This window comes from Homo sapiens, chromosome 8 (genome assembly GCF_000001405.40).
Source record: "Homo sapiens chromosome 8, GRCh38.p14 Primary Assembly".
NCBI classification, from domain to species: domain Eukaryota; kingdom Metazoa; phylum Chordata; class Mammalia; order Primates; family Hominidae; genus Homo; species Homo sapiens.
Window position 1 is genome coordinate 18,848,536 of NC_000008.11, and position 26,749 is coordinate 18,875,284.

The 26,749-nt window shown below is 41.5% G+C and overlaps 1 protein-coding gene and 1 long non-coding RNA gene across 25 annotated transcripts in view; one reads left to right on the forward strand and one right to left on the reverse strand.

Annotated features, from left to right (window-relative positions):
* Positions 1–26,749, reverse strand: part of PSD3 (pleckstrin and Sec7 domain containing 3) — a 557,503-nt gene that overhangs the window by 321,233 nt on the left and 209,521 nt on the right. For 20 of the 24 annotated variants that reach the window (NM_001412865.1, NM_001412866.1, NM_001412872.1 and 17 more), the window contains 2 exons: positions 23,091–24,198; positions 19,139–19,534 (listed from right to left, as the gene is read on the reverse strand). In NM_001412865.1, coding sequence (NP_001399794.1) covers positions 19,139–19,534; positions 23,091–24,198 — 1,504 coding nt within the window. Of the gene's footprint in view, positions 1–5,562; positions 5,829–19,138; positions 19,535–23,090; positions 24,199–26,749 lie in introns of those variants that run through there. The other 4 variants (NM_001412885.1, NM_001412886.1, NM_001412887.1 and 1 more) reach the window with 1 other exon arrangement.
* Positions 5,941–14,380, forward strand: LOC124901897 (uncharacterized). Its single transcript, XR_007060839.1, has 2 exons — positions 5,941–6,023; positions 6,312–14,380. It is a non-coding gene; the product is annotated as an uncharacterized LOC124901897 (long non-coding RNA).

Here is a 26,749-nt window from a genome sequence, read left to right on the forward strand (position 1 = left end):
AGCTTGTAGCAGTGGTGATTAAGTTTTAAACGCTTAATAAGACTGCGGCTCAAATCTAAGTGCTGTATGTTCTCTCTCATGTAGGGGTGCTTCTAGAAATATTCTTGTATGTATGTGTAGTGGTGGGTGCCTATTTTTGTTGTTACTAAAAATGTTTTTCTCCTTTAAAGAAAGAAATTACTATCAAAACACTGGCTTGTTGCTCACAGAGGAGTCCCAGAATGACCAGTAAACTCACCCTAGGTTGGGGCGGAATGCAGAGACGGTGGGGATTATGGTCTAGGTTGTTTATTGTCATACAAAAATGTGGCAACTGCCATTCTTTGGCTACATTTCAAGCGGATACTTCTTGGTTCCCTCATGTTTAAGCTTTTAAGAAATGCTCAGCTATGCAATTTCCACAAAGTCAATCAATGATGAATTCAAAGCTGTAATGCAAGATGAGACAGATTTGCTTCCAAAGGTCAAGATGTCAGAAAATCCAAGGCCAAAATCACCTTAGATCACCCTTAGGTTTATCTTCTACACCTGTTGGCCATATCGCTGCCTCCAGTCCCGAAGCAGCATTTATACACCTGGCAACTAAATAGGTATTCATCTACTTGTTAGAAAACTTATGCAAGGTAAAGGGATTTAGTAAAAAGTGCCAAGTCCTAAATCAACAGAATTTCCACTTACATTGCAAATGAAAGGGTCTAAAACAGAGAATTCCAATCACAGACAATTACTCATTCATTGATCTTCCCACACCATCTATCATTTCTATATGATGAAACTTCGGCTCACTTCTTGGTGCCTGTCTAACCCTCTAGATTATTACAGTACTATTTTTGGCCATGCACTATGCATCAGACACCTCAACTGCCTTCTCTTCAGTCGCTCATATCAGCCGAGATGTAAACTACGGCTGAATGGTCCGCTATTTTTATGCTAACAGCACTTCAATATTTTTCATCTGCCTCTTCTTACATGTTGGCCGAGGTCTATACTAGGTATCATTTACATTTCTAGAAACCTGAAATATCGGCATTATCCTCCTACTCACAACTATGGCAACAGCATTCATAGGCTACATGCTCCCATGAGGCCAGATATCATTCGGAGGCGCTACAGTAATTACAAATCTACTATCAGCCATGCCATCTATTGGAAGTGACCTTCTGCAATGAATCTCTGAGGTGGATTCTTTCCTCTTACTGACTGACCTTGTCTTTTGAAACTATGACTTCCCTCATGTCTAAGGTAAACTTTTCTCCTTATATCTAAGGTAAACTGTTTCAACCAGAAGCACATCTTCCATGGGTCTCCAACCCTTGGTCCAATCGATGAGTTCCCCAAGGGACTTGCTAGATGCACAAGTTCTAGCAGCCAGTGACTGTTTCCCACCACTAGAGCTATTAATGAGCCTTCTGGTTAATCAGCTGCAGAGACAGATTTAACTCTTCTTGTTTATCTTTTCAGCAGCAAAATACTGAAGAAATACAAATGTTATCCTATTACTGTCATCTAGGAATTCAGTCTTGCCATGGGAAAGCTAGACTAAAATGTCCACACAGGATAGATGTACTTCTCTGTTCAACAACATACAGATAATAAAGAGCTTGAGAAAACCAGGATGGATGAAAAGCATTGAAAACCAGAACCACAGCAATGCAAACATCTCCCACATAGCCTGGCAAAGGCCCCTCCCCTGTCCCAAAGGGATTGTTGCCTCACGCTGAAAGATATTCATTCTCCATGTCTTCTCATGGTGGCATCTCTATTTCAGCCACCAGCTGTCATGACATCCTTTCTCCCTGGCTCCTTTCAGGTACTCACAGCTCCTATAACAATGGATCTGAGACCCAGAAGCCCTGATCAAAGATGATCAGCTGTGGATGATTACAAAACAAAGCGATGTCAAGATCAGCAGATTATAGGCAAGACAATTTGATACTCATCCTTAACACCCTGTCACCCTTAAGAGATTTTCATTCATTTAGTTCTCAGAAGTCAACATGGCATCTCAGCTAGAAGTTCAGCCTCATTACTCACTTGTCCTATGTTTTCTAAGACAATTGTCGTAAGTTATTTAAAAGGAGGCAAAAATTGCCCAGTAAGACGGTGAATACAGCAAGGTAAAGGAGAAGTAGAAAAGGAAAGATAGTCACTATCTCTCCTCCCCATGCACAAAAAGGTCTTGTAGCTCAACCCCCTCTGCAGATGGGCAAACTGAGGGGTCATGAGAGGACGCGACTCTTCCCAAGTCTCACCATCAATAGCAGAGTTGGACCAACAGAGGTTCCCCTGCTAAAAAGCAGGGCCTCAATAAAGGACCAGCTGAATCAACAAAAGGGAGTGGCTTCCTTAAGAACATGCTGGGCACAGAAACTCTATTGCCCCCCCTCCCTTCTGAATACAGGTTCTTATGCATACCAGGAGCATTCAAGAACAGAGGGGACAAAAGATCTCCACAAAAGCGAGACAAAGTGCAAGGACACCAGAACACCAGACAGCTACAACTGTTCCTTGGCCTGCGAAGCATCAACAGTTCAGTCTATCTCAACAGGTAAGAGGAATAAGCCACTGTCCTTTGAACATCCAATAAGATAAACAAACCAAAAAATCCACAGAGCACTCTGCAGTCCATCTAGCACTTTCCCATAGTTATTTTGTTTCATCCTCACAATAGTCCCATCTTGCAAGTAAAGAAACTGAGGACCAAGGAAGTCTTACCCAAAGTCATAGCTGGTAAACAACAAGGCCGGAAGTTGAGCCTACATCTTCCAACTCCATATTCAGCACCTTCTACTCTACCTCCACCCAAAGATATTCATGACAAAAAGCCAAATATAACAATAGACCAAAGGGCCAACTGAACCACAGCCTCCGGCCAGCTAAACAATGACTAAAATCCCAGCTGGAACCCAAAGCAGGCTCTGTCTCCTCAGGACTTCAGGACAGGATTCCAGAGTGGATTCAGACCAGCCCTCTGCTACGAGGCAAGCTCTTCGCTCTCCTACAGGAACTCTGGGTTAATCACATGTCCCACAGCAGCATGGCTGGAGCTAGACCTGTCAAGCACATTCGGCTCTTGGTGACACAACCCAGCTGTGCAGGCGGTTCCCATCAAGGGAGCTCCAGACATTCCAGACACTGTGCCACGGAATTGCAGGGAGGGACCGAGCTGCACAGGGAGCTGGCAAGCCCGACAGAACTTTCCCTACCACATCTGTACTTCTGCAACAACAAGGCAGTTTCAAATCAGCTCCCAAAGAGCTACACAGATTCTGCCTTGTGAGGATAGACTAGAAACTGACAGTGGAGATTCCTTCTGGAGAGTGGGACCAATGGAACTTTTACCGTTGGCATTGTATTCCTTTCATAATATCTTTGAAAACTAGATCAAAATTCAATCTAAAACCCATAAGGATGACAGTCTACACTGGAAAGTGGTGAAGGCAAAAAGAAACTGACATCAGGTGACGTAAACTAATCACACAACAGTTTTAAACAAGAGCTTTAGAAACACTGAATTAAATGTAAGACCTTTATAAAGTATAACAAGATTCTTATTTACAAATTTTACAAAAATTTCCCTTGACTGTTAACAGAAGAAATTGAGCCATTTTTGAGGCAGGAAAAAAAAAAGTCTTTAGTACTTAATTCTTTTAGGCATTTTCACATACTTTATCTCATTTAATCTCAATAACCATGGAATAAAAATATTATCTACAAGTGATAGACCAGGAAACTCAGACCAGGCACTCAGAGAAGCTAAGCAGCTTTCACACAGCTGCACAGCTACCAACTCCTCGAGTGTAAAGACAGAAAGGGACAATCTAGGAATACAGACAAGTCCTAAAAAAGCTGCCACCACTGCTGGGCAAAGGCAACCTGCACCTATGAAAGAACCCAGACACAATGGCCAGTTTCTGACAGTCCTTTCTTGAGTGGGTCACATGCTGCCTATGGGGTACATGTGTACACAATGCTGCTCCCCATATTTATGAAACTGACATGCCCTCCACACTACATGAGCACACAGATGTTTTCACAAAGTGCTGATGGACCTGCGGTAATCTACCCATTTTCCTCTCCCAGCCCCCGTTGCCACTGAAGGCTGCATTTGAGAGATGCCCAACTGACTGAGACGAGAACAGAGGTGCTACCCTGGAACCTGGCCACAAGGAAGCCCTGATGTGTTTACAGTGTGAGCTTGCCCACAACTTCAAATTCATCACCATCATGCTCTAACATCGAAGTCCTCACGTGCCTCACATAAGGAAGCACAATTTAAACGTCATAATAGCCAATGATCATTAATGTTTACTGAGCTCTTTTAGAGCAGAAGGAACTATGGTAATTGCTTCCCATGCACTACACACTAGTTAATCCTCACAGCCACCACCCCTCATGTTAGATACTATTATCATTCCTATTTCATACACGAAGAAGCTGAGCTTCAGAAGTGGTTAAGTAACTTGCTAGAGACCAAACTGTAAGGAGTAAAACTGAAGCCTATGGGCCTATGACTCCTAAGTCAGACTCAGAGCCACTCTGCTTATGTCTCTCATAAAATATATTTCATGGCCTTTTTCCCTCAAATATTCTCTTTGTCATTTCTTATTAAAGTTATGAAACAAAATGTCCAAACAGAAGAGGCAAAATTGTTATACTGATGGGCTAGCCAGACAAATGGCATTATAAAAATACTGGAAATAGGAACTTACAATCCATAGTCAAGGCAAGCAATGCCAATGTTACCAATGCATACCCACAAATACACCTGTTATAATCATTGACTACCCTGGAAGATCAAGCCCTGGAGTTCTTGCTGGGTTCTGGATGGTCAGGAATTATTCTTCAATCCCAGGCATCTTGAAAATGGACATAATATCAACGGACTAGGCTCAATTCCCCTTCTTTAGCATCGTTGACCTCACTTATCCCCTGCCTGTTGAACATCACAACAGAAACTTTCCCAGAAAGAAACCGTGAGGCTGAAATTCCCTCAGCTCCAGGGGGAAAAAAAAAACTCCCTATGCCCTTTTCATTAGATAACTGGTTAATCTTTGAAGTTTCAGTAAAACGTTGAATTCTAAGGTGAATCACCTTTCCATACTAACAGCACAGCCAACTTTCCCTTCAGAGCAGTGATATACCAAAATAAGAATGATAGCCTTGTGCAGTAGTCATTACGGACCCCACTACATGACTAAGCTCAAATTAGTGACCTTCCACAGCCTGGATGAAGTTTCACAAAGGGTAGCTGGAGTTCACATGCAGTCTAGGAACACCAAGCTATGTCTAAGCGCCTCAAAGAGCAGCACAACTCCACTAGGGAAAAATCTCATTTTGCCCAAACATTGTAGACCCTGTAATAAATATACTCTTCATTTGTCATCCTTATTTAGAAATTAACATATGATCATTTTCCTAAGTCTTTCCTAGGATCTCCTTACAATGCTTTTCATTTGAAATAATCTATTTTCAAATCCAAGGAAGTTTCTACAATTACAATTATACATAATCCAGCACTGCCTAGGACCAGACAAAGACAATACACCAATTTCCAGTTACCTTCGTCAGCAAACAGTCTGCCCATAATTTTGTCAGGAATTGAAGAGCATTCTCCCATTCCATCTGCTCAGCAAACTTTCATCTTCCGCAAGGGCTCTTTTAATGTACTTCTAAAGCTGCTTCTGTTGCAAGTACAAACTGCTACACACTGACTCCGCAGTGACATTCTCCCAGAATGCCACTGGATCCCTCAGGGGCTCAGGGATACGAACTTGAAAGAAGTTGAAGGAGGACGTCCCCCTCTTCCCAGCCTCCTCTCTCAACACAGCTTCCCTCCAAGAGACCTGCTTCAAAAGTCCAGACCCAATGAAGTCACTCATGACCTCACAAACCTCTAGTTTAACTCTTTAAGAGCCAGATGGCAAGCTGACAGCAGTCAGAAAAGGCAACTGTCTAAGCTTATTTGGAGTGGTTGCCGTTTAAGGGAAAGGAGACATTTGTCCAGCATCGTTCAAAACAAAGTAACTTTGCCACTGATTTGGTTTAATAGCACTAAAGTTTTTTGAACAACTATTTTATAGACTGCAATTTCCTACAGCACACACAGCCTGGTCCTAAAGAAATGACTGAAATAGACAACAAAATAGATTTAAGTCATTAATATTATACACAATTTAGCTCTGTTAAATTCACACTTGACTGAAATAGACAACAAAATAGATTTAAGTCATTAATATTATACACAATTTAGCTCTATTAAATTCACACTTAATCTCATGTAATTTGTGATTTTCTATTTTCATTTCTAGTTTTGTTTTTTCTGCTCGTGGATGTGAAAATATTTATTGTCCTGTTGGTTGTCCAAAGCCTGCTTCAGACACGTAAGTGGCCAGGCAACACACACAGCTGTCAGACACAGGCAACAACTGCCACAGAGGCATCCGAGAAACCAGGGACAGCAGGAGTTGAGATCCACTGGAAGCCGTGGCCGCCAGACCTAACCAATGGATGCCAGAGTGTGTGTCAGCCCTAACAGGGATAGGAGACCAGCCTCACTTCAGTTTCTTTTCCATGCTTTTCCTGGGGATCCTGCTATTTTTGTTGGGATACGGGGATTATGAGGACCTGGAGATTTAAAAGACTAAAAATTACTTTCTAAACAGAAGTGGATAAAAATTATACACTCGAAGAACATGTAATATGCCCTTTCAAGAATGTTCTGGTTTACCAGAAAATGATTATACTTACCATGCAGTAATTTTATTCCTAAATATATACCCAGACTAGAGAAGTTCTTCCATGTGTTCCCAAAAAGCCACATGAAGGTTCTGTGCACATCGCCATGCTGTTTGACATAATATGACAGTCAAAATGCCCATAAATAGAAAAATGAAAAAAATAGGTTATAGTATGTTCACATAATGAATACTATACAGCAATTAAACTGATCAAACTAGGGCTGAGTCAATAAGAATGAATTTCAAATACTGAGGAAAAAAGGGTAAAGACAGAAAGGGACAATCTAGAAATACAGGTATGTCCTCAAAAAGCAGCCACCACTGCCAGGCAAAGGCAACCTGCATGTATGAAAGAACTCAGACACAATGGCCAGTTTCACAAAAGGAAACAAGATAGCTTGTATATGAAGCTGAAAAGTGTGTGAAACACTGTCTAATGATTACAGATGCACATCTCTAAAGGAATGATAAACATCAGCAGCTCATGGTTACTTCACTACGTAGGGAAGGAAAGAGAGGAATGAGATCTGGGGGCATAAAGAGGAGAGGAGTTTGCAATTCATCTGAAATACTTTTATTTCCTAAGTGGGATGATGAGATCACAGGTGTTTATTATTGTCTACACTTTTTGGTATGCCTCAAATGTTACAGAAGCTTTAGAAAGCCAACTGCATAATGACTACAACCTCTTTGAGTGCAGCAACACCTGTTCAGTCTGGACAATTAACAGAACAGGGGGCAAAGAGGTTAACAATTCCCTTCACTCTCAAGTCCCCAAATCCAAGCAGCTGCTGCTCCTTCTGCCATAGTTCAGCTCCTTCTCTCTGGCATGTCACCCTGCTCCACGCCACCCACAACCCTTTACACATAGCCAACTCAGCCTTCACAGCCCACCTCAAAATGCAGCACCCCCACAAGGACCTCCGTGACATCCCACGATGCAAGTAACCCCCAACTCAGAACCATGAAGCCTGGCTCTCTGGGCTCTGCACTAGAGTTATTTCTGAAGTTATCTGATCTGCCTGTTTGGGAGACACCTTAGTATCTACTATAGAGCAGCTGCTCATTAAGTTCTTCATTCAACAAAAACTGAGTGCCCAGTATGTGCTGGCCACTATGCCAGGGGTTCTCTGAGTCCCAAAACGTAGAACTTGAGAAGACCACGGCCTAACAGAAGAGACAGGCCTGTAGCGAAGTATAACACTATTAATACTACGTGCTGAATCCTCAAATAGTTGCTAAGTGAATGCCAACTACGAATAATGAAATTTTAGGATTGCTTCGCAATAGTAACTATTCAATACATCTTATTTTCTCTATACTAAAGACTTTATAATATTACTCTTGACAAGAAAATGTCACCTTGTTTGCGTTGAGGTGGGGCTTCTAAATAGAGTAATTATAAAGACAATAAAAGAAACTATCATTAAACCTCCTCAGAGTCAAGGAATTGAAGGCTCTTAGAATTATTATTACAGAAAAACAACATCTCAAGTCAATTCGATTTTACCACAGTCCATTCATACTGGGTGACTTTGAAGAGGTTTTAAAGACATTTCAAGCATTTCAAGCACTGTTATTACTGATAATAGCCAACATTTATTGAGTACTCATTAAGTGCCAGTAAATGATTACTGATTATGTGCCAGTAAATGACTTAGACAGAGAATTGACTAAAATTTGAACCAAAGCACTCCGACTTAAGAACCCACACTCTTCGCCACCAACCATACGTTTCCTAAGCAGGAAAATCAATCAATCCCTGCTGATATAGTTTGGAGGGACTCCCTATCACCACCACACCTAAGACAACAGAAGAAATCATTTCCAGGTTCACAGCCAGGAGCACTCACTTTCCCAAACCTCTGTTAGGAGAATCCTCCCCTCCAAAAGCGGAGTTACCTTTAACAGGCCCACATCCCCCTGAGAACGGGGACTGGCTCAACTTTGTATTCTGCCTCTAAGCAACTTGCAGTAAACGCCTCTCAAAAGCAGCTTCCAGTAAACGCTTCCCAAACTTCAACGTGATCATGGATCACCTGGGAATGTGTTAAAATGCAAATTTTGCTCGAGCAGGTCCAGGGTGGTATCTGAGAGACACATTTCTAACCAGGTCCAGGTGATGTCTGTTAGTCTGAGGCCCACACCTGGGAGTAGCAAGGTGTTGAGAACCTAGGCTGCGCATCAGAATCACCGGGGAAGCTTTTAAAGCTATCCATGTCCAGGTGCCACTCTAACAAATAGAATCTCTGACGGTGAAGGCTGGAGATGAGAAGCTTACAGAGCTCCCTGTATGATTCTAATGAGCAATCAAGTTTGAGAACTACTGTGCTACAGCTTTACTACTCAAGCTTTGCTCCATGGACCACCGTTGTAGACCAGTGCTTTGCAAACTTCCACGTGAATGTAAACCACTTGGACCTCTTGGTAAAATGCAGATTCTAATGTAGTAGGTCAGGGTGGGGCTGAGGATTCTGCAATTCTAATAAGCTCCCAAGTGAATGCTGTTGGGTGGCAAGATGGTGAGTAAAAACATCAGAAAATCTCAGGAGTTCAGTGTGTGTGATTTTTAAGGCTTTCCTTTTGTAATTTTAGATTCAGAGACCAGTAGAATACCTGCAAATAGAGCGTCAGGCACAGGCATAAGAAACAGCATATGAGGTATGGGGATTACAAAATGGAAGCATTTATCTAACATTAGACAGGACAGAGATTAATATTAATCCTCATTAGCATTCATGAGAAACTTATTTACCTTCCCTTGCACCATGACCACTGTCTGTCTCAAGTACTAAAAATGAAGGCTCTGCTAACAGCTTGAGCCAATTCAATAGACAGACATACCTTGGATATATTGCTGGTTCAATTCCAGAATGCTGCAATAAAGCAAATATCACAATAGAGCAAGTGATACAAATTTCTGGATTTTCTGGTGCCTATAAGAGTTAGGTTTACGCTGTAGTTTCTCAGTGTGCAACGGTATTTTGTCTAAAAACAACAGTGTACATACTTTCCTTTAAAAACAAACTTTATTGCTAAAAAATGCTAATGATCATCTGAGTACTCAGCAAGTCCTAATCTTTTTGCTGATGGAAGGACTTGCCTCAATGTTGATGGCTGCTGACTGATCAGGGTGGTGGTTGCAGAAGGTTGCGGTGGCTGTGGCAACTTCTGAAAATAAGACAAAAATGAAGTTTGCTGCATCAATGGACTCTTCTTTTCACAAAATATTTCTCTGTAGCCTGTGAGGCTGCTTGATCATCTTTTACCCACCACAAAACTTTTTTTTTTCAAAGTTAAAGTCAATCCTCTCAAACCTTGCCACTGCTTTATTAAGTTTATGAAATATTCCAAATCCTTTGTAGTCATCTCAATGAGGTTCACAGCATTTTCATCAGCAGTAGACTTCATTTCAAGAAACCGCTTTCTTTATTCACCCATAAGAAGCAACTCCTCATTTATTAAAGTTTTATCATGACACTGTAGCAATTCAGTCACATCTTAAGGCTCCACTTCTCGTTCGCCTGCTATTTCCACCACATCTGCAGTTATTTAATCTACTGGAAGTTTCAAACCACTCAGCCACTCATGAAGGTTGGAATTAACATCTTCCAAATTCCTGTTCATGTTGATATCTTGACCTCCTCCTCCCACAAATCATAAATGTTCTTAATGGCATCTAGAATGGTGAATCCTTTCCAGAAGGTTTTCAACTGACTTTGCCCAGATCCATCAGAGGAATCACTATCTATAGTGACTACAGCTTTACACAATATATTCCTTCCAAAAAAGCTCAAAGTCAAAATTACTCCTCGATCCATGGTTTGCAGAATGGATATTGTGTTGGCGGGCATTAGAACTACATCAGTCTTCTTGTACATCTCCATCAGAGCTCCCGGGTGACCAGGCGTCTTGTCAATGAGTAGCAGTAGTATTTTCAAAGAAATCCTTTTTTTTTTTTTTTTTGCCTCTAAGCAGTAGGTCTTAATAGTGGGCTTAAAATAGTCAGTAAATCATGCTGTCAGCAGATGTGCTGTTATCTAGCCTTTGTAGTTCCATTCCTAGAGCACAGGCAGAGTAGATTTAAGGATAATTCTGAAGGGCCGTAGGATTTTGAGAAGGGAAAATGAGCACTAACTTCAATTTAGTGTCACTAGCTGCATTAGCTCCTACCAAGGGTCAGCTTGTCCTTTCAAGCTTTAAGAAAAGGCGATGCCTCGTACTCTCTAGCTAAGAAAGTCCTAGACAGCATCTTTTTCCAATAGATGGCTATTTGGTTTACAGTGAAAATGTGTTGTTTAGTGTAGCTAGCTTTATCAATTATCCCAGCTAGATCTTCTGGATAACTCACTGCAGCTTCTACATCAGCACTTGCTGCTTCGTCTAGTACTTTTATGTTACGGAGATAGCTTCTTTTCTTAAACCTCATAAACCACCCTCGGCTAGCTTCCAGCTTTTTGGCTGCAGCTCCCTCACCTGTCTCAGCTTTCAGAGAATTGAAGAGAGTTAGAGCCTTGCTCTGGCTTCGGCTTAAGGAAACGTTGTGGCTGATTTGATCTTCTATCCAGACCATTAAAACTTTCTCTATATCAGAAATAAGGTGTTTTCCTTATTATTCATGTGTTCTATGAAGTAGCACTTTTAATTTCCTTCAAGAACTTTTCATTGCATTCACAACTTGGCTGTTTGGTGCAAGAGGTCTAGCCTTCAGCGTATTCTGGCTTTCAACATGCCTTTCTCACCAAGTTTAATCCTTTCTAGAATTTTATTTAAAGTGAGAGACATGAGATTCTTCCTTTCATTTGAACATTTAGAGGCATTGCAGGGTTATTAACTGGCATAATCTCAATATTGTGTGTCTCAGGCAATAGGGAGGCCCGAGAAGAGGGAGAGAGAGGGGGAACAGCTGGTTTCATGGAGCAATCGGAACACACAAAACTTATTGATAAGGTTTGCCACGTTATATGGGCATGGTTTATGGGGCCCCAAAACAATGACAATAGTAACATCAAAGATCTGGGACCACAGGTCACCATAACAGATATAACAGTAATGAAAAAGTCTGAAATATTGAGATAATGACTAAAATGTGACACAGAGACAAAAAGTGAGCACCTGTTATTGGAAACATGGCACCAACAGACTTGTTTGAGGCAGGGTTACCACAAATCTGTAATTTGAATAAAAAAAAAAAACAGAGTATCTTCAAAGAGCAATAAAGCTAAGTGCAATAAAATGAGGTTTGCCTGTAGCTCTGTATTTCAGTTTACAGAGGGCTTATGAAGTGAAAAACAAGATTAAAGTACTGTAAACAAGACCCTTTTGAGTTCAGGCAAATTTGTATTCCTGTGTAAAACACCTTCAGAGAACAATTTACTCAAGAAAGTTGGTGTCTTTTTTCCTCCCCAAAACAAGGCTCAATGGATAACATCCAATGTTGCAAATATGGTGCTAAGAGACCTCTGCTAAGATGAATATCACTTCCTTTAAAAGTTAAATATTGTACTGATATATGAATAAAAATATTGCTGTATCATCTCGATCAATTAAAGTATTAACCACCATTCCATTTTTATTTAGATCTATGATTCTCCTTGTAATCACTTATACCTCCAATGTCTGTTATCATTTGATGCCATTCTTTGATCAAAGCTCATCCAAGTAACAGGCGCCGCACCATGCTCTTCACACCAGTAGCCACCAATATCCAGGGAATTACTTTGGTTTGTTTGTTTTAAGGTTTAAACCACAGAATTAGAATGTCTCCAGGAATAGCTATTTGAAATCCAGGACCATTTCCTGAAGTCATCACTAATTTATAAAAGAGGCACCAAACAGACAGGGAGGGCACAAGACCACCAGGGCAAGGGCTGTCTGAAGGGCACTGAAAGAACAACCAATGACCAGTGCACTTAGCTTCCATCCTGGGCTCCCTGACAATCGACCCACTGCTGGAGAAGGGACAACACACAGAAGAGCTTCCAGGAAACTGACCTTACAGGGCACATTTTCTACAGAGATGGCATTAGAAGGACACATAAGCAAAACCCAAGTGCTCCTGTGTGAGCCCCTCCTCACAGTCCCATCCTCAGCCCACTCCTCACCCTTGAGAGCCCTCTCATAACCACAGCTGCAAGTCTTACATCTAAAAGGGTGACTCCAAAGTCTCTCCAGTGACCTTCAGTCCCATATTCCCACCAGCACTTCACAAGTAACCCTCTCTCTCCTCCAATTTGACCTCTTTATATCTGATCACACTAGGTGTCCTCCTACCAACCTGCTGCTTCCCCCAACTCCAGTGCAGGGTTTCTTGCTCCAGCCAGTCACCCATGCTTGAACTCTCACAATCATTTTGACTCAGCCCCATGTGTCCTAGAGTCAAACATTCATCAAATCCTTGCATCTTTCTTTTTACCAGGCTATTTCTTATCTATTTTCTTATTATTCCTTAGACTCTTAGACTACTACAACACCCATGATAGGTTTAAAATAAATATCCACAAATTAGAACTTAGCAAAGTCTTACCACAAAACTGCACATTGGTTGATAAGGCTATTTCCATCTTACCAATAAGCAATCAGAAGTTCCACGAATGAAAAGACCTCCCCGAGAACAAGCTGCCAGAAAAGAGGATGGCTTCACCTCTTCTCTTCAGTCTCAACCCTCCAGGTTTATTCCACCTACCACAGTGCACTGTGCTTCATAGACAGAAAGTGATTTCTAAGGAAGCCCCGTAGTAAGGGTCCGATGCAGGACTTCTGTCCATGGCCGAGTGGCAGAATAACTTTTCTTTGGGTTACTACTGTCATTGGTATTCATTTGTATTTAATGAGCTCCTACTGGGTACCGGACATTGTTAGGCCACTTGACTTTCTTTTCTTGATTTTTGTTCCATCTGATTAATCTCGTTTCCTCCTCCTTCCTCCTTTACGAGATAGGTATTATTCATTTCATTTTACGCTTGCAGAGGGTCCCAGATTTTATGTATTTATTCAAAAATACGCACCTAGAAAGTGAAACAATTCGAAACCAGGAATAAATGGCTCTGAGACCTAGAAGAGCCCCTAACCCACATCACTGAGCAGGAACTCCTTTGTGGTTTTTAAAAAAAAAAAATCAAATCACCATTACACTACTTTGGAAAGAAGCCAGAAAGAGAAAAATGAGAACCTCTTTTTTGACTGAACAAATTTAAAATGTAAAAGAAAAGGATTAAAGAGATTACTGGAGCAACAGCAACAGGCTCATGAAGCCACAAGGCAGCAGACCTTCCCAGCACCAATGGCAGAAAAGAAGCCCGGAGCTCCGTGGGCAGCCAGATCTCTCCAATTTCACAACATGAAAATGTTGTTCTCTGTCACCAGCTTCACTAATGTCACATTATTTTAAATTATTCTTTTAATATTTATATATTATATTAAAGTGACTTCAAGTTTAAACTGGGATGTTGAAACAGTTTTTCAAATCGCACTTCAACAAATTTCTACTTCTTATTTCACATGAATTCTTCCTAAGCGGACAAACAATACAGATAGAGAAAAACTGAGGAAGAAAGAGAATAATTTCCAAACACTGCATTCCATTTGAGAAGGAGGAGAAAGAAATAAGAGCAAGGCAAAAAAAAAAAAAAAAATCCCCACAAATATCAAATTCAGAGTGGGCTGAAGACAGACTGAAGCGCTTCCCTCAGGCAGATCAGCTGCACGCAGATGTAATTCACCTGTTCTGCCATACCCGTTAGTATCCCGAGCAAGATCTGAAAGGAAAACTTGGAAGCTTAGATATAAAATAGATCATCACGCTACAAAGGTTATTTCAAAAAGCAGCTTCATATATTCCAAAGAACCAAAAAAGAAGTTCCTGCCATGTCACGGTATTTGCTATTTCTTTTTCTCCTGTCCAAACCCAAGTTCAATGGAAATGGACAATATCCAGCTAATGGTCACAGTGACAACACTTGTGCCTTAAGAACTTACTGATTGAAGTTGTGGTCATCTGCTGATAAGCCGGCGAGCGAGAAGCACTCAGACACAAAGGAACCCATTGAAACGTGTATAATTGTAAGTCTCTAATTATCCTTTCTAATTTTGGAGCCATGTGACAGGACTTCACACAGCACCGCTGACCCCCGGTCAGCCTGAGGGCCATGTAGCTGGGCTACATGGGGAGGGGATGCTCCTCTTTGCTTCTTCATTGATATATTGTGTTCCATGCAGAGGCTGAGCTGTTTCCGGCTGACATGTGGCTCACTCATCAACAGGCAGGCAGAGCAAGCACCTGGGAGAATGCATTAGGCTGGTGCAAAAGTAATTGCAGTATTGCCATTGAAAGTAATGACAAAAAACTTAATTATGTTTGTGACAATCTAATAGTCCATCCAGATTTATTCCAGGATTTTAAGAGGCTTTTCACCTTACACAGAGTGAGCCGCTTGATGTCACAAAGGTATTTAATACTTTTAAAGACAAATAGACACGCACTCAAAAAAAAAACTGTCTTTCCCAACTGCATACTAGAATATTATAGATTTGGAATATTTTCTTCTTTGACTTGAGTAGAGAGAGTAACAGGGAAGAACAGTGTCCCTCTGGCCGCCAAAGGATGGCTGAGCCCAAGACTGGAAGGCATTCCTGAGAGAAGGAACTAAGTGCTACAACACCACAATCAGCCTTCCCAACCTCTTGCACCTTTCTTTAAAAGAGCAATTCAGCCGAGAACAGTGTCATCCTGTGCTCAAAAAAAAAATCACTGTCCAATACCGCCACTGAAATAATCTTTAATGACAAAGTAAAGACAGATCTTGAAACAGAAAAGGATTTAAGTAAATCTAGGCAATAGCAAAGCAAATACATTTTTGTTTTGTTGAAGATATCTGGTCTTGTTCTAGATCTACCATGAAATCATTACCACTTGGTCCAGTTCAGCATAGCTCAGTAAGAGCACGGGCTCTGGAGGCTGACTGCCTGTGTTCGAGGGCTGAGTATGCCACTTACCATCTGTGTGACCTTTAGCAAGTTACTCAACCTCTCTGTACCTCAGTTTCCTTATTCGGAAAATTAGAACACTAATAGTTCCTTTCTTCCCCCTATAGCTCATTATGAGAACGAAGCATCATGTGTTTACTAAATAAATCAAACCTATGGGCCACATATGACACACAATTATGTTCAGAGACTAGCTAAAGTAATAATATTTTTTACAAGCTAGCGACTAACACTTTATACATTAAAATCAATATTTAATTTCCTTGGTTCATGTCTACCAAATATCAAGGAGGCGCGATCAGGGGAGAATTCATTAGTCTTATTCCTTTTCTTTTAAGCCTTCCTCAGAGCTCACTTTATGCAATGTACTCAGACCCCCACCACTAGCAAGGAAGCAGGAGAGGCGAGTGAACACAGATGGAATGGAGGCATGGCCACTGCTTTTATTTATGACTTTTCTTTTGTAAATATATTAATACAATGGGAAATTTTTTTTCCTTTAATTCTAACACTTGGGCCCTCAGTGCTTGGCTGAAGGACAGGCTTAATACCTCAATGTCCACTTCCTTGCCTCGGCAGAGGGATGTTTTAACGCAGATGAAATTTTAAAAGGCCAGCTCACTGATTGCTTTAAAAATGTGTGGAAACGTGTGTATTATTGACCTGGTAAATTTTCCTTCAAATTGAATGCATACACCACCACCGACAACAACAACAAGCAGCTCTACATTTAGAACTTAGTTTCTTGAAAACAGACCATCTCAGACTTCCGGCTTTATCAACACATGGCATGAGAGAAATCCGATCAAAAGAAGAATAACAAAATAAAAGACCCAACACCTAGCACAGTGAATGAATCCGGCCTAGGAGCCAGACAACTTGAATTCTACTACGGTATCTGTCACAAGACAGCCACGTGGCTTTGGGTAAGATATCCCACCAAACTGGAATACAGATTCTATGTTATATATATATATATATATATATATATATATATATATATATATATATATATATATATATATATTTTTTTTTTTTTTTTTTTTTTTAAAGGCTATCTGAGGCCCCTTCAAGTAGTAAAATGTTCTCATTCTCTAACCCACAATAGTAACACAATTCTTCTTTGGTTACAACTTCTCCAAATCAGCAAGGAAGGTAGAAGGGAGTAAAGAAAAATATGGGTTTTTCAGTTTCCTTAAAATTTCTTAGGATCATTAAACCTGCCCTACCTTTTAACCTTGAATAGAGACATACATCACAAAATAAAGCTTCCTCCACCTGTAACCACTTATTATCATATGCCAACCTCAAATAACACAAAATGGGGGAGTCCTGCCAAGCTTGTCTGTCCAAGCCACTGGCAGTGCTCAGCACATGGTAGGATGACCACCAATCAGGAATTGTACAGTAGGAGTGCCCAGACTCGGGGAGAGGCAAGCTGGCGCGTCTCCAAGGTGCTTGTCACTCACCACTAGAACGTGGTCCTTTACCACTAGACAAGATCTCCTGGTTTGACAATGCAGGTGACACAGCTGAAACTTTATCTCAACACGGCCTGAAGAATACCACTGTCTAAATATGAGATGCTAAAATACTATGACCTACTCTAATATTCTCTCCCAACTCTGTCCATCCTCGTGACTGGCACCCATGCTGGCCCAAATGATGACAACCTCCTGTTCTAAGTGCACAAGCCGCACATTTAATAAACCTTTCACCCAGTTCCTTCACTGGTGTTCATCTCTCGGCTTCACTTACAACCACTCCCTGTGGCTTTTGCAGTGAAGCCTCTTAGCCCAAAACTCTTCCACTCCCCAAACCATGTTTGGTCTGTAATATAAACAACTTCCACTCACCCTAGAAAACTGAGTGGGAATTTCAGTGCAATTATCTGCATACCTTTCCTACAGCGTTTTATCACAATTTGCAGTCCTCAGAGACGAAGGTGAAAGGGGAGGACTAAGGTGGCACCCTCCACTGAGGAGCACCGCCTCACGGGGACACTGCTTTCAGGAATGCCTCCTCGCCAGTACTCTTCCACTGAGAGACACTCTGATCTCAGAGATACAAGAAGTCTAGATGTGGACTAACCAGGCAACCAGTTCATATGCACACACTTACCCAGGCTCTGCTTTGTACCATGTCCTGTGCGAGGTGCTTTAGTCTCTATTAACCCTTTAAATCTCACAGCCTCACAACACACTGGATCATTAACCCCATTTCGCAAATAAATAAATCCAGTTTCAGAGAACGTAAGTGGCTTGCCCAAGTACTTCAGACCAAAGTCTTGTGGTTTTGACACCTTGTTCTTTTTATTCTCACTGTGACCCAGTAAGACAACCAATATCCACAATCCATATTCACAAGAAAATGCATAGCTACAATGTCACAAGGAGCCAATCCTGAATTTGCTCATCTAATGAACTATAAACCTTCAAACTGGTTATAGAAAATGCTCAGCACAGGGCAGACTGCTCAAAAAGAGAGGTCCATTGAAAACCTGTAATATTAATACTGGCTTTTTTTTTTTTTAACAAAAAACACTGGTATTATTTAATACAGCTTTAAACAGCTTTAAAATAGTTGATCACCATTTAACACCTCCCACCAGCTCCACACAAACATACATACATACACACACACACACACACACACATATACCAAAACAAAATTCATAAAATTGTCACAGGTAGATAACCTGAGGATGACGAGCATGAAGAAATGAAACGCTGGATAATCCATAAATAGTCGCGGAATCCCCAAATAACAGGCATGGTGGATACAATGTACATAATTTGTCATTTTATCTCCCAGATAGATTAAAAATCCTAAAGTAGAGAGAGAAAATAAATACGGAGCCTAGACCAAGATATCAGCTCTCTCAAGCATCTGTCTAATCGGATCCTTCCTTCAACACGTCAGGAACAGGAAGACAGAACAGGAACTCTCAGAGCAAAGGGCTGGAAGAGACTTTGCTGACTGTATAGTCCACCACTTTAATTTCCAATGAAGGAATCTCTGAGCTAATCAAACAATCTTCTTGAAGTCTTCAACCACCCTCAGTGCCAGACTAAAGCTACGATCTCTCAGTGTTCGTTTCACAGCACCACGTCTCTGCCATCATCGGAGCTGATAACCTCACTCATCATCCCCAAATATTTGTTTGGTATCCAATTTATATATAGTCATCCAGGAAATCCCACAGACTAAAATGATCACAGTGTGCCAATGTGACAAACCACTAAGGTGTGTCTTTCCTGCCCTAAAACTCAAATTACTTTTTACTCACATCATTTGCTTATGTCCACAGAAATTGGCCAAATGATTTAAATATATATTCCACACTCAGATTTCCCAGAAAAGAAATCCTACAAAAACCACCAGCATGAAATGAATGAGAATGGGACGAGTACCTTCCCCAGAAAGCAATCTCCGGGGTGCCTTTCGTGTAGATGGAGTCGCTGGCATCATTCAGCCCATTGGTGACGCCACTAGAATAGCCCATCACGATGCCACCATCTGCAGACACACTCAGGATATCCTGATGTCCTCCCCCTGATGTCCTCTCCAAGAACTGACCACCTTCTTTAATGCGCTGTTGTATCATTGGAGTGAGGGGCATTTCAAAGCTAAAATAGCTATCAGGCTCTGAGTATAATGTCTCCAGGGACTCTGCACTGTAGTATAAAGAAGTGTTGTCCAAAATGGTTTCAAACTGGGAGCTGTACACGTCGGTGGAGTCCTCCGTATATCCAGGCCCAAGGATGTCTTCATCTTCCCCCTTAACGTGCTCCTCTTGTTCGCTGATCCTGGAAAGTAAATAAGAGTGAAGAATTCCAATATTAGGTTAATGTCTTTATTTCTCCCACTTCAACCATATAAAAAGGACAACATTCTGAAGATCTAACTCTTCTATTCATTGACTTATATCTTAACATATTTGGGAAGGAAGCTATGAAATATAATCAGGTTGAAAAATTCTTGGCATGCATGTGGCTAGGACACTATAAATACTTTAATAAAGTTTCAAACTAGTTTCCTAATGTGTGAATACATCTGGTCCAATGAAGATATGAATAAAATATTCAATTCTCATTTTAGCCAAATATACCGTACACATTCAGATTATTTGCAACTACCAGCATTCCTAATTATAACAGAAGCAGATAAATATATCATGGAAACTTGATACGGCAAAATTTCAGTAAAAATACACCAAACTTTCATCAGTTGATTAATACTTTCTGATTTAAATAAGGCCAAATGCTCTCAAGCAGATGACTGCATCAGAAGCCAAGAGCTGCCCCCTGCTGACAACAGAGCAGCACTGCAGAGAGATTTCACGTCCAAAATTAGATAGCCAATTAACGGCCTAACAAAAAGGCAACAGAAGCAAGGCTAACCAAAGCTTTGAGAGATTAGAAACAGCTCAAAAGTCAACATACAGGGTAGGGCATTCACTTTGGCACACAAACGTGAACAATTAATATGCAGCATGTTCTACAAATATTAAAAACGAACATTAGGATAACTAAGTAAAATTAAAAACTTGGGAGATAGATCACTACTAAGAGCAAGAGGTCAAGAGTTAGAAAAACCAGAAGCTGAATTTTGGCTGTCTCAATTACTAGCTATATCACTTGAAGCAACTTTACTTAACCTCTCTGAGCCTCAGATTCCTACAAATAGGAATAACATAGAATTAGGAATTATCTATTAAGCATCTCATAAGTCATCCACATTCCCAGGTATTACTGGAATCCACATTCAGCATTGCAATTGGTTTGTTGTTTTTAAATACTGAAGGTCACCCATGGGACCAAATGCTTGTTCTTAATGGCTTTCCACTGCACTTGGCATAAACTGGACCGTTCCTAAGATGATGCTCCTCCCTACCTCTCCACACTCACTGCACCCCACTCTCCCCTGCTTTTTTTTTTTTTTTTTGAGATGCAGTCTAACTCTATCACCTAGGCTGGGGTGCATTGGTGCAATCTCGGCTCACTGCAGCCTCCGCCTCCCAGGTTCAAGTGACTCTCCTGCCTCAGACTCTCAAGCAGCTGGGATTACAGGCATGTAACACAACGCCTGGCTAATTTTGTATTTTTATTGGAGATGGAGTTAGCCAGGCTGGTCTCAAACTCCTGACCTCGGGTGATCTGCCTGCCTCGGCCTCCCAAAGTGCTGGGATTACAGGTGTGAGCCACCATGCCAAGCCTCCCCTGCTCTTCAGGCATTAGCCACACAGGGAGAGTTTCAAATCTTCAAGCCTGGCACAGGCCTTGGCTTCACACATCTGCAGGAAGCACACACTAGTCAGGGAGCTCAGCAGCCTCCTGTGCACATGCTGTTCCCTCTAGCTGGAACATTCTTCCTACCCCTTCTCTGGCTGGCAAACTCTTTCCTTCCTCACGTCTCAGTGTAATTTCCATTTCCACAGAAAAGCTTTGTCCAAGCCATCAACTAAACTGGCCTCTTCCCTCCATCCAAATTATTCATTCTTGTAGGTCTCTGTTCTTTCCTTCACAGAACCTAGCACACTTTGTGATCCTATACCTATTAGCATGTTTATGTGATCAATGTTTATCTTCAGTGGTAAATTCCATGAGGACAGTATCCGTGAGCCACATCTATTTTGACCATTCCTTTACGCCCAGCATCTTGCAGTGTCAGGACATAGGAGACAATTGAAAATATTTGTGGGAAGAAAAGAGGAATGAATTATTAATCTGAACAACAGTAAAAGTGCATATTCCAGTGGGAATATAAACACTGGGCCACATGCCACATATCAAGGCCGCTTTGGAGGGAAGTCTGGAGAGCTGATGGGTTGGGGAGGGGAGTGGGAAGGATCCTGCCAGTGATCCCAAAGGAGCACCACTCTCAGTGGGTTTTTTAACTGCAGAGGAAAAGGCATTTCCTTACACCGAACAAAAAAACAAAAAACAACCCTCGGCCTTGACACAGATGCTCTCCCGTATAAACTATAAAATGTGGTGTCATGAGGGCTGACAGAAGAAAAGATGGTACCAATTAGAAGTACAGTACACAACAAATGACTACGATCAAAGGGAGTGCAGAAAGATGGGTCACGTCTGCCATTTATCCAGGGTCTAAGCTGGTGTAGATGTCAGAAATGCAGGGAAAGACCAGGAAATACCACATGATGTCAAGTTTCAATCATAAAGGCCATAAATCTCATAAGTAGGAGTTAAACAATGAGAACATATGGGCACAGGGAGGGGAATATCACCCACCGGGCCCTGTCGGGGTGTTGGGGGCTAAGGGAGGGATGGCATTAGGAGAAATACCTAATGTAGATGACGGGTTGATGGGTGCAGCAAACCACCATGGCACATGTATACTTATGTAACAAACCTGCACGTTCTGCACATGTACCCCAGAACCTAAAGTATAATTTACAAAAAAAAAAAAGGCCATAAATCAAAATATATGCTACTTGTGAGAAGAAGAAATTCCCATGTGAATACCAGGGAACAACTGAATTATAAAATCTACTTCTGACCCCCTGAGATGTCATTTCAAAACATAGGAAGGGCCCGGCACAGTGGCTCACACCTGTAATCCCACCACTTAGGGAGGCCAAGGTGGGAGGATCACTTGATGCGAGGAGTTTGAAACAGCCTGGGCAACAAAGTGGGACCCCATCTCTACAAAGAGTACAAAAGTTGGCCAGGTGTGGTGGTGCACACCTGTAGTCCCAGCTACTCAGAGGGCTGAGGTGGGAGGATCTCTTGAGCCTGGAAGGTCAAGGCCGCAGTGAGCCGTGATCACACCACCATACTCCGGCCCGGGGGACAGAACAAGACCCTGTCTCTGTATAAATAAATAAACAAACAAACATAGGAAATTGAGTGGGCCAAGAACCTCTGTGTTCATACATGTATGTCGGCTGGACTGAAGGCATTGGTGTTATACCCAGAAGAAATGCCAAGGTTGGAAGTACCAGCTATATAGGGTGTGTCAAAAGAGTCCAAACCTTTTCATATTACTAAAGATGACTGTGGGGTATGTTAGTTACCTTGACGTTGGGAAACTTGAAATCTGTCAAATGTTAAGAAAATGTCAGAAAAGAATTCACAGTTTAGTGTTCACAGTCTCTTCAGAACTCTGTTTCCCTGGTCCATGCCTAACGGATGACTTTATAACAAGATCACTTTAATATCTGAGAAGCTTAGGAGGAATCTTAGCTTAGAAGGACCTAGCTCACAGTAACTCATCTTATATTCCATGATAACAAGAACCCAAGGTATTGTGATTGAGTTCTCATATCAAGTACAGGATAACAGTTTTCTATGATATGTACCAGGCATCTGAGACAGCAGGGCTACTATGGGAGCTCACCTTTCCCTGTCTCTCTCTGGTTTAGGTGTCTTCTCAAGATGCTGTTTGTTTTCCTGTAGGAAGACTTCATCCTCTCCACTCTCATCAAGACGCACAGGGGAAAATGTCCCCGAGCTAGTGCCAGGCCTCTCTGAAGGAGCTTTCCAGGATTCATCCCAAACATTCTCAGTTAAACTACTTGAATTACACAAACCAGCTGATGAGATGAGATGGCGTGGCACTTTGGAAGACTCTTTGCTGTCAGGAGAGGCTGTTCTTTGCAGTGATGTCTCAAAATCTATAGGATGCTGGGTCTCTCTCTTGTCTCCTCCTGTCCACAGTATTTCCACTCCTTGAAATTCCACATGTTTGACCCGGCCTGGGCGTCCCATGGAGCTGCTTCGATCACATCCCCCTGGGTGCTCTCTCCCAAGAGCAGACCTCTGCTCTTTCAAGAAACCAACACTGCCTGCAGAGTGGCAGGTCACTGCTGAGCTCCCGAGGGAGGCCAAAGGACAAGATGGCTCCTGCACACAGACAGCCCCTTTCCTCCCATTATTCATTATCTGGGAAATCTCTGCCTGAGTGTCTCCAGTTAACAGCGCGGTGAGATCTTTCTGGATGCTCAAATAAAAACTTTCCTCCGTTGTTACTTCAGCTGAAAGAGGTATTTCTGGTAAATTTTTTTGGCCAGCAGGGAGCGTTTTGTTGACTCTCTGTGTTTTACGACTGGCAGTGTCCAGCTCTTTTTCCACCTGCTGAACTGAAAAACTAGAAACAGCATCTTGGTCCAGTACCTTTGTAGCCTGTAATGTTCCGGAAATGATTCTGGCTTCTGTGGCTTTCAGAGCTGAAATCAAAGAGTCAATGGGCTGTAAACTTTGTTCCTTGAGATGACTTTGAGAGGGGGCCTCTCTGACATCTTTTGGTCCTTCTGTAACACTGTCGAGCCCAGAGTGGCAGCCAGTAAGAGGCTGGACACCCTGCTGCTCTTGTGGGTGGCATGGCAGAGCCTCACCATCAAATTCCAGAGAAGCCCTTAGGCCTTCTCCACCTTCCTCCATGGTCCCATATTCTGGAAATTCATTTGTGACATTTGGTGGGAGTAAAGTGCTTCCTCCATGATCACCTGTGAAGAGAACACAATGGACATATGACTTGTTGTAGAAAGACAGGGCCCAGTAGGTAATAATGCATATTCACACAGATTAGGCACTCAATAATACTTATTAACTTGATTATTGCATTATATCAGTCCTCCCACCACCCTGTAACACACACTCCTCATGACACTACAGTGATCCCTTCTACTCAGCCTACGCGAGTATAACCACAAAACTTTCGGCCTAGAAGGCAATCTAATGACACCTGCCATATTTAACTTTGCTTCTGATGTCCCATACATGAGGATTCAGAACCTCAGTTGCTTCATATGCAAAAAGGGGTTACAATAAGGATATGTACCAACTTCCAAATACCACTCATGAAACAGCAACTAAAATGTGTATATTGGGCTTAACACTAAAGAGCCCTATGATCTAGCCAACAGTATCTGTGCAGTGCAAGCTCCGAGACAGAGCCTCTGCAAAATGCTTATGATCTATTTAAACTCAGTCAATATGTTTTTTCTGCCAGAAGTCTCCCCTTCATTGTTGGGTTTCTGTGGAGGGAAAAAATGCTTTCAAAACATCCCTGAAAAATAAGAATGAAGCCAACATGGAATGAGAAACTTAGTGTGTTGAGAAAGACTTCCAGGAACCCAACTACGGAAAATTCATTTTTCTCATTTTATTCATTTATTTTCCCAATTGACAAAAGTTTGTTTATATATCTAGATATATGTTTACATATATAAAGTTTATATATATATAGTATACAACATAATGTTTAATATATGCGTACCTTTGTAGACTAGCTAAATCAAGCTAATTAACAACATACCAGTACTGTACCTCAAATTTTTGGTGTGTAGTGAAAACATTTAAAATCTACTTACTCTTCTAGCAATTTTCAAGTATACAATACATTGTTATTAACTATAGTCACCATGTTCTACAACAGACCTCCTGAATTTATTCCTCCTACCTATCTGCAATTTTGTATCCTTTGACCAGCACCTCCCCAATCCCACCACCCACCAGTCCCTGGTAACCATCATTCTAGTTTCTGCTTCCAAGAGCTCAACATTTTAGATTCTACATATTAGTAAGATCACTACCTGCATAAAATTGTAATGGCATCTTACGAAGAACCCCAATACACGAAGTAAACAGTATTAGTATATATTCACTATATTGAACCAAATTTATAATATTTTCTTGTTAAAATGATAGCCAGTGAGAACTGAAAATGGGGACATTCTGACAAACCAAAACTTTCAATTGGGGGTTTACAGATAGCAGCTGTAGTCCTATCAGCCCTAGTATCCAGTCTTCTTCTGAACTTAGTTTTGGTTACTTTGTATCATGAAAACCCTCATCTATGCTGGAAATACAGTGTACTCACTTTTACTTTATGAAAGAGGACATTAGTTGTTACCATTTTTATTTTATTTTATTTTATTTTATTTATTTATTGAGATGGAGTCTCACTCTGTTTCCAGGCTGGAGTGTAGTGGTACGATCTCGGTTCACTGCAACCTCTACCTCCCGGGTTCAAGTGATTCTTCTGCCCCAGTCTCCAGAGTAGCTGGGACTACAGGTGCGTGCCACCATGCCCAGCTAATTTTTGTTTTTTGTTTTAAGTAGAGACGGGGTTTCATCATGTTGGCCAGGATGGTCTCGATGTCTTGACCTCGTGATCCACCTGCCTCGGCCTCCCAAAATGCTGGGATTACAGTCATGAGCCATCGCACCTGGCCATTGTTACCATTTTTAAACTACTGCAGAGCTACAACCTTCCTATTTAGTGAAATATTTTATAAATGTCTGTGTATATATATACACTGAAATGGCTGAAAAGACTTGATTCTGCCTGTAATCCCAGCTACTTGGGAGGCTGAGGCACGAGAATCATTTGAACCTGGGAGGCAGAGGTTGCAGTGAGCCGAGATTGCACCATTGTAGTCCAGCCTGGGTGACAGAGCAAGACTCCATCTCAAAAAAAAAAAAAAAAAAAAAAATTTGATTTCCAAGGTAACTTGGAAACATCAGTTATCCTAATAACTGATAATTATTAATTACTGATACAATTACTAATAATAGGTGTATTGCTATTGAACACACGGTATCCCCCAGTGTGTTAAATAGCAATACCTCTGAGAGTACATGCTGTTTCATATTCCATGTTGTAAAATAATTTGAAATATATACACTTTTTTCTCTTTTTTAAAGACAGGATCTTACTCTATCATCCAGACTGGAGTGTGGGAGTGCGAACATAGCTCACCGCAGCCTCGAACTCCTCGGCTCAAGTGATCCTCTCACTCCAGCCTCTCGGGTAGCTGGGACCACAACAGGCATGCACCATCATGTCCAGCTAACGTTTTTACTTTTTGTAGAGATGGGGTCTCACTGTGTTGCCCAGGCTGGTTTCAAACTCCTGGCCTCAAATGATCCTCTCGCCTTGACCTTGGGATTACACACATGAGCCACCATGCCTGGCCTGAAATATATTCTTAAAATTAAATCTGAATCAAGTGTTGATGGAATCTAACAAGCACTTCTCTGGGATAGTATTTA